Below are 12,170 nucleotides of genomic sequence, written 5' to 3' on the forward strand. Positions count from 1 at the left end.
CTTGGGAACCCCAGAAACCGCGAGCCGTTTCCTTTCTCTTCGGAAATGGCAGTTTTGTTGTCCTGGATGAAGGCGAGCGCCGCTGCCTCCCTGAATGCTGAGCACGCTGGCTTCGCGGTGCCCGGAAGGAAGCCTTTGAAGAGTAGTTTTGCGGGCAGGGAGGGGACAGGGGTGCGTGCGACTCAGAGTGAGAGGGAGGAGTTGCAGGGCAAAGGCGGGAGGAGGGGGAGATTCTGGAGAGGAACTTGAGGGGATGGGATTCACTCTAAGGAGTCCTGGGCGGTCGGAGCTTTCCCCTCGCGTGACCCAGCCTAAGGGGGAAGTGGAGAAAAACAGCTCGACAGATTTGTTGCTTAAATTCAAACGTAAAACACCTACGATCTTCTTATCCCAGTTGTACTTCATCTTCTCCACGGGTTCCCTGTATCTCTGATTAAGACACGAGATTAGTGGAGTGGGCGGGTGGGGGCGCGCGCAGGAGTTGGTAGCAACTCTCAGTGAAATACAGTAGAGCCATGGAAAGCGGGGGCTGCATTAATCCAACCAGCCTTTTCTCTCCTTGTGCCCTGCTGTCCCAGTTCAGATGAAATGGCCAGTTTTGAACAGTTTTTGGCTGAGTTCCTTTTAAACCCTTGGAGCCAATGCTAATCACTTGTCTTGACTTGAAGTGCTTGTAAAGTCTGCATTTTCATCGTGCTCAGAACTCTGAAGTGACATAGCTACCTGTGGCTAATGCATGAGAATAACAAAGGCTGAGTCCTGGCTTGGGTGGGAACCCTCAGCTGAAGTAGAAGACTGAAGGATCCAAGGAACCTAAAATCACAGTGAATCCCCACCTGCAAAGGTCTTAATGTTGCAGATCTTTGGCACCTGAGCCAGATTTCATCACATAAAGGCCACATTGCAGTTAACTTTTGAAAACTGTGTTATGAGAGGTAGAACTTTCTCATGTCAGGCAAATCCATCATTACAGAGGTCTGACTGGTCCTAGAGATTAACTGAGACAATCTGTCCTAAATTTACAGAGACTTCCATCTGTGGATTCAGTCAGCCAACCTGCAAATGTTTCCCCTGCAGCTTATCATGGACAAAAAGCAAGCATTGCACATTTCGATTTTGGTTATTCTATTTAACTGGGGAATCTGGTTTAGGAATAAACCGTTCTGGTGACTACCCCATTATCCAAGCATTTCCCAATCTAGGCCCAACCTGTCTTTCCAGCCTTGGTTCTGTTGCCCATGGAGAAGGGTGCTTTCTGGTTCCTGGCATTTGCATACGTTGTTCTTTCCTTCTGGAATTCTCTTCACCAACCCACAGCTAATACTTCCTTTAAGGCTCAGTGTACTTATAGCCTGGGAATCTGGGGTGGAATAAGAGGTCTGGATGTTTATATCCCCACCACATTCATGTGTTGAAACCTAATCCTCAAGGTGATGATAATAAGATGTGGGACTTGGGTGGGCATAGTGGCTCATGCCTGTAATCCCAGCACTTTGGGAGGCTGAGAAGGGTAGATCGTTTGAGGTCAGGAGTTGAAGACCAGCCTGACCAACATGGTGAAACCCCGCCTCTACTAAAAATACAATTATCTGGGCGTGGTGGGACGTGCCTATAATCCCAGCTACTCGGGAGGCTCCCGAGTAGCTGGGAGGCTGAGGCACAGGAATCGCTTGAACCTGGGAGGTGGAGGTTACAGTGAGCCGAGATCACGCCACTGCACTCCAGCCTGGGAGACAGAGTGAGACTTGTCTCAAGAGAAAAAAAAAAAGATGTGAGGCTTTCCGGAGGTGATTTGGTTGCTAATGAATGGGATTAGTGCCCTTGTAAAGGAGGCCTGAGGGAACTTGTTTCACCCTTCTGTACTGTGAGGGCACAGCAGGAAGACGCCATCTGTGAGGCAGAGGGCCCTCACCAGACACCAAATCTGTTGAGGCCTTGCTCTGTCAACTTCCCAGCCTCCAGAACTGGGACAAATAGATTTCTATTGTTTATAAATTTGTTGATAAAGTATCCCATTTAAGGTATTTGTGTTATAGCAGCAGAAACGGACTAAGACAGTGTGGAGAACAAGATATTTATTTACTTGGACAGTTTTTCCCGGGTACTGACCTGTTGGAGACACCTTCAGATCTCTGCTATCTGATTGCCACACCACAGTGAGTGGGTGTGCCCATCTTTGATACTAACAGCTCAGTACTGTGGATTGCCCATGTTTTTTCTAGTCTGAGGAGAGGGGAAAGAGCAAGGAACTGTGTGGCCTTCCTGCTCTCTTGGAAACTCTATTGGGAGGACTAGCCTCCCAGAGAAGTTGTAGCCCCAGTTATGCCTCAGGTTCAGCCCCCATCACTGTACCAACATTTTACTTTGGTGATGTGAAAAGTTAAAAGAACAGCCCTTGGCCATTTAGGTCTCTCCTCCTTTCCAGCCTCATGTCTGGATCCCTCTCTGTAACCTCACTAGAGCACTCAAAGTTTTCCAAATATGCTGGGGCCTTCCACGCCCCTGTGTTCTTGCTCCTGTTCTTCCCTTTGCCCAAGATGCCCTCTAACCTTTTCTCTTAGGCAGTTTCTACTCCTCTCTCAAGATTCCCTTCATATCCCATCTCCCCACCCATCTGGGCAGATTTTAGTGCTTGGATCCCTCTGCTCATACATTGATCAACTGGGTCTCTAACCTTGTTCTCTATAAAATATTCTCCACATAGCAGCCAGTGTGATTCTTTTAAAACATGTCAGATTATGCCATTCCCTTGCCACTTAACAAAGTCTGAAACCATGGCCTGCAAGGCCTACGTGACATGGTCCATGGCTGCCCTTACCACCTCATTTTCTACCCTCTCCTTCACTTCTCAGCTCCAGCCTCCTTGCAGCACTTTAGAAATGTCAAGTCAGTTTCCATCCCGGAGCCTCTGTACTTGCTGCTTCCTCACATCCTTCAACACTGCTCATCTGAGAAAAGCCCTTCTTGAATACCCTAGTTTACAGCTCTGTTTCTTTTTGTGGCATCCAGTGCTATCCATCATTATGTTCATTTATGTGTTTATTTTTTGTCTGTCCTACAAAAATACAAGTTCCATGAGAATAAAAAAGTGAATGCATATTTTGGCCAAGTGCCTATCGCATATTGCTACTGGATTCATGTCATACGAATCACTTCCTTTTTTTTTTTTTTTTTGAGACAGAGTCTTGCTCTGTCGCCCGGGATGGAGTGCAGGGGCACAATGTCACCTCACTGCAACCTCCGCCTCCCAAGTTCACGCGATTCTCGTGCCTCAGCCTCCTGAGTAGCTGGGACTACAGGCATGTGCCACCATGCCTTGCTAACTTTTGTATTTTTAGTAGAGATGGGGTTTCCCATGTTGGCCAGGCTGTTTTTGAACTCCTGAAGTAAAGTGATCCACCTGCCTTGGCCTTTCAAAGTGTTGGGATTACAGGTGTGAGCGACCGCACCCAGCCTACTTTCTTTTATTTAGAACTCAGTTTCCCAGCCTCCATTACAACTGGGTTCAAGAATATAACCTAGGCTTTGCCAGTCAGGCTCATCCATATCAAACTTAAATTCAGGTATAAGCAACCAGAGGAAAGTGGCTCATTATGGAGCTCCTTGCCTTGCTGGTATGAATTGCCCTAATAGCCAGGCGGCTGCCTTAGTTGGCAGCACTAGCAGTGACGTTAGTTTCTCAGTGGTTGCAACATGGAGTTTCTGATGTAATAGTGGTATTGACAGAGAGCTGCAATGGTGATAGTTTTCTTGCTGGGCTAGTTCTGCAGTGGTTTTGTGCATTATTCCCAGAGGAATGGCCCCAGTCCTGAATCTCTACACCTTCCAACACACCTGAGAACTACCCAATATCTTCAATATAATCCTTTTCTGCTATATCAGCAAGAGTCAGCAGCTTTTCTTTCGTACAGCTAAGGATCCTGACTTTGTATGATTGTGGGTCTTTTTCCCCACAGTGGGCTACAGTCTCCATTAGATGATTCGCCAACTATTTATTGAGTGCTTACTATATGATGGACAATGTCCTAGCCAGAGCTTACAGTATAGTGGCAGGGCAGGTACATACACGATTATACTAGAGTGTAATCAATGCTATGAAGTGGTCGTGGGAAAGCACACATTGGAGGCACAGTCTATGTGTTCATCTTTGTATTTGAGGCTCTAATGCACTTCCATCATATAGAAGCATTCAGTTTATATTTGTGGAATGAATTTTGGGTGGAGACAAATAGAGCAGCAAAATGCTGGTGTCCTTCTCCATCAATAATATTCTCTTTGCATCCAACCTGTATTTCCTGTATGTCTGAGTCTTTAACTTATGGTCACTTGAGGGCGGACCAGGAGTTGGAACTATCATTCATTCACTTAGTCAGTGTGCAAACATTTATTGAACACATGACATGTACCAGACATTATGCTAGGTGCTGGGAAACAATAGAGAATAACACAAGTCTATCTGCCTCACAAAATGATAGACACTAGTGAGTCCTTTACAAGTTAGTTGGTTTCTACCCATAGAGACGGAAAGTATTATAGAATGGTGGCTACCAAAGGCTGGGGAGAGAAGAATGGGGAGCTTTGTTTAATGGGTACAGAGTTTTCATTTAATTTTGCAAGACAAAAAGAGTTATGAAGATGGATGGGGGCCGATGGTTACACACAGTTTGAATGTACATAATACTACTGAGCTGTACATGTAAAAATGGCTAAGATGATACATTTTATGTATATATAACCACAATTGAAAAAAAGTACACCCCCACCCCCAAAAATAGAACAATAAATTTACACATGTTGTTAAGGGAAAAAATGTGAGTTGGTTTCTAAAAATGAATGGTAAAAGCTGCTTTTGTTATGATTGTAAAAAGATAGAGAGATTTCATGTTTTCTCAGTGAGATTTACTTATATCCCACAGTAAATTTTGATTCATTTTTAAAAAGAAGCAGGTGATAGAGGATGGCTCATCTGGCTTAATGTGCACAGATAATTATCTTCTAGCTATGTATGAATTAGTCTGTTAATAATCAATATTTGCATAAGGAAAGAACCAGAATCTGCCTGGCTTTGAGACTGAAGTAGTTGCAAATAAGGCAAGGCACTGGAGAGATTTAACAAAAGAGAGTAAATTGGCCTGTGTCCATTTCTCTGTTTCTGCCAATTTCCTGTCAACTTCCATTTTAGCAGATTGACAACATGTTATAAACTGTGATTAAGTCTTCACAATGAAAGCTCATTTGCTGGGTATCTTCCCCATTCCTGCACCTCTGCTTCCTTTCCCTTGTATTCTAGAGCCCCAATTTTTCTTGCACTTTCTTCTTCCCTCACCTTTAGGTTTTTTCCTTCTTGTCTCCTCCTTTACAGTAGAAACTGCAGACAGAGTGTGAATCTATATAATTAATCAAAAAAAATTTATTGAGTATTTTGTGTTCAACACTTACAGGATTCTTAGATTCAGATGAGCAAAAGTGAAAATAAAACAAGTAAAGGCAAAGATAAAGCAAACAGGCCAGGCATGGTGGCTGACGCCTATAATCCTAGCACTTTGGGATTCTGAGTCAAGAGGATTACTTGAGAGGATTACAAGAGCCCAGGAGTTTAAGAGCAGCCTGGGCAACATAGCAAGATCTCATCTCTACAAAAAATAAAAAATTAGCCGGGCATGGTGGTGTGTGCCTGTGGTCCCAACTACTCAGGAGGCTGAGGTGGGAGGATCACTTGAGCCTGGGAGGTCAAGCCTGCAGTGAGCAGTATTGCGCCACTGTACTCCAGCCTGAGTGATGATGATATTCTGTCTCCAAAAGCAAGCAAACAAACAAAACAAAAAAATAAGCAGAGAACAATGAACTCTGATGCAATTGGATTTTCCTCTTGAAACGAGATCAGAAAGAGAGAGTTCTGTGTGGACTGAAGTTTGTAAGGGTGACTTCTCAGAAAGGGAGTGGGGGAGCTTTGTCTGAATCTGAAGGATTTGGCCAGATGAGAGGTGGTGATGTGAGTTTTCAGTGTCAGTTCTAGGCAGGATTATGTTGTGCTCTGAGGACAGTAGGAAGAGGAGAGATGTGAGTTCAGAGGTTTTGTAGGGAGCATGTAGGGAAGCCTCATGGGCCTTTCCAGTGTTAATTAAATCCCGTTATTTATCAGCTCCTACTTTGACTTTTTTTGTGTCTTCTCTGTAGGAGGCTATAGGAACTCAGCCTATTTTATTTCTCTGTTTAAAGCCACTGCTCTCCACCCCGATCCTTTGGTGTTCTTATTTCTTCAAGTCTACATATGGAGTGAGTTGCAAGTCTCCAGGCCATTCCTCTTTGCTGCCTCTGAACCTAACCACTTTCCATAGGGAAAGTTTCATTGCTAATAATGACAGAGAAATTGACAAAAGATAAAACTGCTGTTGTGGAGAAGGTTAAAAAAAAGATGAAAGTTGTTAGTCTTAACCCCTGCTCAATATTTTCTGTTGCTCATCTAAAAAATTGGAGAAGTAGGGCTTACCAGTCCATTCATTCAACAAAAATTGAGCAGTTGAACACACAAATACACACACATATACACACACAAGAAACAACTAGAAATAAGTGCTGAGAAAACACACTGATGTGATGAACAACTGGGTGGTGACTTCAGAATAAGCAGTCAGGGAAGTCCTCTGTAGTAGGTAACAGTTAAACTGAGTCCTTAGAAGGAGCCATGTGAAAACAAGGGGGAAGTACATTTCAACCAGCATAGTGTGTTGGGGGAATAAAAAGAAAGCCAATGTGCCTGAAGCTCAGTGAATAAGAACAGAGAGGTACAAGGGAAGATCTGGGCCTTTTCAGATGAGGAATTTAGATTTTATTTTAAATATGATGTATGGAAAGAACAAGAACAACAAAACAAAATGTGATGAGAAGCCATTTGAGAGTTGGCAAGTCATCTTGTGCTTTATATATTTTTAAAAACATCACACCAGCTTCTGTGGAGGAACAAGAGTAGAAACAGACCAGTTATGAGGCTATTGTTGGGGGCTTGAACTAGGGTAGAAGTGGTGACAATGGAAGAAGTGAATGGATTTAGGATGTGGATTGAGAGTAGAGTCAATTGGATATGATGGCTGAGGGAAAGAGAAATTAAGCCTCTTAGGTTTGTGGCTTGAGCAACTGGGTGAGTGGTAGCTTCACATCCCATATCCTGGAATACTAACCCACACTTTTTGAATTCTGTCCTACTGTCCTTCTGTCATTTCTGAATCTCTTATAGCAACCTTCATCAGGAACGCATACAGAGTTAGCCAAATTGAATACAATATTTCAGTGATCATCTGTTGGTATCTACATGGGTCAAGAGGGAAGTAAGCGCTATTGGATGATCCCTAAGTTTGCTCTCACCCAGGAATACTGCATTTTGAGTATTACTTGTGTTAGCAGTGGTGAATCCGTATGGGTCTGCGGCAGCCTCAACTCTTGCCTCCTCAGAAGAAAGAATTTGACCGAGGGGCATAAGACAGAGTGAGAGAATGAGGCAAATTTTGGAGCAGGAGTGAAAGTTTATTCAAAAGCTTTAGAGCAGGAATGAGAGAAAATAAAGTACACTTGGAAGACGGCCAAGTGGGCAACTTGAGAGATCAAGTGTACTGTTTGACCATTGATTTGGAGTTTTATATGTTGGCATTCTTTTGGGGTCTGCATTACTTCTCCCTTTTTTCTTCCCTTGTGGGGGTTGTCTGCCTGTGCGGTGGCCTACTGGCTTTTGAGGGGGGCCGCATGTGCACTGTGTTTACTGGAGTTGTATGCACGCTCACTTGTGGCATTTTTCCCTTACCAGTCTAGTGGTCATATACCAGGTATACTTTGCCTTTTGCCTCCTTTTTTTTTTTTTTTTTTTTTTAATGCGGAGTCTCGCTCTGTCACCCAGGCTGGAGTGCAGTGGCGCAATCTTTGCTCACTGCAACCTCCGCCTCCCAGGTTCAAGCAATTCTCCTGCCTCAGCCTCCTGAGTAGCTGGGACTGCAGGCCCGCCACCATGCCCAGCTAATTTTTATATTTTTAGTAGAGACTGGTTTTCACCATGTTGACCAGGATGGTCTTGATCTCTTGACCTCATGATCTGCCCACCTCGGCCTCCCAAAGTGCTGGGATTACAGGTGTGAGCCACCACGCCTGGCCTGAAACCTCTTATTTCTATGAGAGACAAAAGGATGTACTGTGTGATGTCTCATTACACCCATCGTTGTACCGATGAGAAACCTCAGCAAAATCCCAGAGGTAAGTGTTGACAGTTTCAAAGGTCAGAAGGCCCATGACCTTGCATGTAAAATCAAAAGGTCAGAACTATTATGTTGTCAGGGTGACACCCTAAAGAGGGGAGGATGGGTAGGCAGTGTTCTCCCTCCTCAAAGAAAATTTTGTCATTTTACCCTTATAATTGCCACATATTTTTTCCAGATACCTTTCATGTAGCCCACCCCCAATAAGTAAATATATTAGAATTTCACTGTGTAATGAGAATAAAAGAAAGGACTTTAGATGATAAGCTTTTGTGATCTTCTCCTCTCTCCTCCCTTCAGCCCTGACTCCAGTGTCTCCAGCTGAGAGGCTGAGCTTGCCAGCTCCATTTCTGACTGCTCATGGAGCAGAATCAGTGACCAAGGAGAAAAGGGCTGAGTGAAGAAACAAGTGTGAGTGCCAAGATGATGCCAAGGGCTGTGATTTCCTGGTGGGAAGAAAGAAGGAATAGAAGCCAAAGGAAGGGGGATGAAAAGCAAAACCAAGAATCACAAGGAATCAAGTTCGGAGAGAATTTTGGCAGAGATTTTGAGAGGGGGGCTTTAAGTCAGCCATGGACATACTGAAGCAAGAGGAATGAAGGGAAAAAAGAAAAGGGGGGAAAAAAAGAAGAAGAATGGGGCCAAGGAGGATTTAAGACTACCATTATAGGTTACAAGTTGAATTCTTTTTAATATTCTTCAAGCAATGACAGTAAAGATTCAAATAACTTTTAAATTACCTTTGATTTCTAAACCAAGTTTCTTGGAATGTGAAAGTCGCCAAGACTGGGCCCTGCAGGGCCTGGGTTGGGCTACTACTGCCTATGGAGATTCTGAGGGTATTAACCTTAATAATGGCATGAAATCAATAAAAATCATCCAAAAGCTTTTTTCTGAGCATCTATTGTATGTGCAGCATTGTATAAGGCATGGAAGAAAAAGCAAAATAGTATAATGTGTGGCCATGTCCCTGCAGGTGTTATATTTAAGTAAATGACCCATTTCCACGTGGGCAAGTAAGTAATAGCACTCCACCAAAACTGTCACCAGACTGTGAGGGCTGTAAGTTGGTAGGAAGAAGTACTAACTAAATGTAGAACTTAATATCTATTTTTCCTTATTTGATTTTTAAACTTCACCCCAAAACGTAATAATTGCCGTAAGCTTTAAGATTTTATAATTCCAATAATATATACCAAACAAAAATACCATTCCTAGAAAAAAAAAGTCTGGAAAAAAGGTAAAGATTAATAGTCATATTTCTGGTTGACCATTCTCTGAGTGATCTTTTTTTTTTCCTTTCTACTTTTCTGAGTTTTTCAGCTTTTCTGAAATAATATGTATGACATTTCAAGGAATTTTTTAAGCTGTTATTTTAGAATTATAGTTCTAATAATGATAAAAGACATTTTCTGACTATCCTACAATAAGATACGAGGCTAAAAACAAATATGATCTAATCTACTTTTAGAGCCTAGGCCTGAGGAAGAAAAGGGTAAAAGAAAACCATATTCCATGATGGAGAAAAAAGTCTAGAACTTACTCAAATTCTTTCTTCTAAACATATCAAGTGATCTATTTGTAGCGACCAGGTCTTTGCGTAAACATTCCAGCCATTTGCCTAATCATCTGGTTTAAATTTTAATGGATTTAACCTTGGAAAGAGGGCTGTGTCTACACTGAGAGTCAAGATACCTGGTTTCTGATGTCAGCTGTGCATTGCAGCTGACTTCCTGTGTCTATGATTGAGCTGTCTCACTGGCGTTGCCCATGGGTTCTTCGTCTTAAAAATGAGCATTTTACATACATTGATGATGGGAATGTAAAATGTACAGTCACTATGAAAACAGTTTGGTTGTTCCTCAAAAAGTTAAATATAGAATTACCCAGTATACATTACCCAGTAATACCCAGTATACCCAGTATACCCTGCCCAGTAATTCTCGTAGGTATAGAATCAAAAGCAGAGATTCAAACACATACTTGTACACAAATGTTTTAAGCGTGACCCACAATCTCCAAAAGGTAAAAACAACTCAATTGTCCATCAGAAGATGAACGGATAAAGAAAATGTGGGCCGGTCGCAGTGGCTCACGTCTGTAATCCCAGCACTTTGGGAGGCTGAGGCGGGTGGATCATGAGGTCAGGAGATCGAGACCATCCTGTCTAACACAGTGAAACGCCATCTCAACTAAAAATACAAAAAATTAGTTGGGTGTGATGGTGGGTGCCTATAGTCCCAGCTACTTGGGAGGCTGAGGCAGGAGAATGGCGTGAACCCGGGAGGTGGAACTTGCAGTGAGCTGAGATCGCGCCACTGCACTCCAGCCTGGGCAACAGAGCAAGACTCCGTCTCAAAAAAAAAAAAAAAGAAAGAAAATGTGATATTGTGGTATTCACATATAATGGGATATTAATGAGCCATGAAAAAATGATGTTCTGATACATGCTACAACATGGATGAACCTCGAAAACATTATGCTAACTGAAATAAGCCAGACACAAAAGGAAATATATTGAATCATTCCATTTATGTTAGGTGCCTAGAATAAGCAAAGTCAGAAACAAAGTAGATTAGAAGTTGTCTGGGACTGGGGGAGGCAATAATTGAAGTTATTGTTTAATGGGTACAGAGCTTCTGTTTGGAGTGACAGAAAATTTTTGGAAATAGCTAGTGGTGGTGGTTGCACAACATTGCATCTGTAATTAATGCCACTAAATTGTGTACTTAAAATTGGTTAATATGGCAAATTTTATGTTATATATCTTACTACAACAAATGAGAGATTTAATAAGATATTTCTGAAATATCTTTGAACTCTAATATATATATATAATTATTGGTAGACATGGGGTTTCGCCATGTTGCCCAGGCTGATCTTGAACTCCTGAGCTCAGGCAATCCACCTGCCTTTGAATTCTAATAGTCTATAATACCACAGGCAAAGGGCTACTGTAAGAAGAGGGAATTGATCTGAGTCTTGAAGGATGTGTTAAAATAGGGGTCCGCAGTCCCTGGGTCGCAGACCATTACCTGTTCGTGGCCTGTCAGGAACCGGGCGGCGCAGCAGGAGGTGGCAGTGGGCGAGCCATTACCGCCTGAACTCTGCCTCCTGTCAGATCAGCTGCAGCATTACCTTCTCATAGGAGCACGAACCCTATTGTGAACTGCACACATGAGGGATCTAGGTTGTGCACTCCTTATGAGCATCTAATGCCTGATTTGAGGTGGAACAGTTTCATCCTGAAACCATCCCCCACCTCTCCATGGAAAAATTGTCTTCCACAAAACTGGTCCCTGGTGCCAAAAAGGTTGGGGACTTTTGTGTTAGAATTTGTCCACTAGAATGCTTCAAAGATGGGAAAACCCAAAATAGCAAACAGGAGGCTGCAGGCCACATCCAGCCGGGAGTTAAGTTTTGTGTGGCTTTCACAGTGTTTATCAACACAGCATTTAGGATTTTAAAAACTTGGTTGCTAAAATTTAAAACCCGAGAGTATCGATATAAAAATTCTGATTCCTGGTTTCTCTGGAAACATTGAACAATCTGGTAATACCAGACCGATCCTTTCAACAGGAGTTATGAAATGGCTGCTCCCTTTATGCAGTATTTGAACTCTCTGTACTCTCCGTATTGTTTTATTCCCAGCTGGCTTCTTAATTTCTAATACTTGCATTTGAATGTCTGATCCCTAACATAAAACAAGAATCAGGTAAATTATTTCTGAGGGCCCTGTCCCTGGGTTGTCAATTTATAAAGTATTAAATTTTGTTTTCTTTTTGTTTCTTTCTTGCCTCATCTGCAATATAGAAACAACTCTTCTAGGCTACCACATAGGGCTTCAGATTTCTGTAACTGACACAAATATGTGTAAATAATTTTGCAAGCATAGAGTTATAAAGAATACTTAGACTACTCATGCAGGCA

At 42.6% G+C, this 12,170-nt stretch overlaps 1 long non-coding RNA gene across 1 annotated transcript, besides 1 other annotated feature; it reads left to right on the forward strand.

Moving 5' to 3' along the window:
• TMEM123-DT (TMEM123 divergent transcript) lies at positions 12 to 9,131 on the forward strand. Its single transcript, NR_135053.1, has 2 exons — positions 12 to 142; positions 8,541 to 9,131. It is a non-coding gene; the product is annotated as a TMEM123 divergent transcript (long non-coding RNA).
• Positions 112 to 221: an enhancer, noted in NCBI's record as "active region_5447". NCBI's record gives its function as "activates an Ori minimal core promoter by ATAC-STARR-seq in GM12878 lymphoblastoid cells {active_cell/tissue: GM12878}" and the evidence as "EXISTENCE:reporter gene assay evidence [ECO:0000049][PMID:35858748]".
• Positions 9,132 to 12,170: the final 3,039 nt, after the last annotated feature.

Source organism: Homo sapiens, chromosome 11 (genome assembly GCF_000001405.40).
Source record: "Homo sapiens chromosome 11, GRCh38.p14 Primary Assembly".
NCBI lineage: Eukaryota > Metazoa > Chordata > Mammalia > Primates > Hominidae > Homo > Homo sapiens.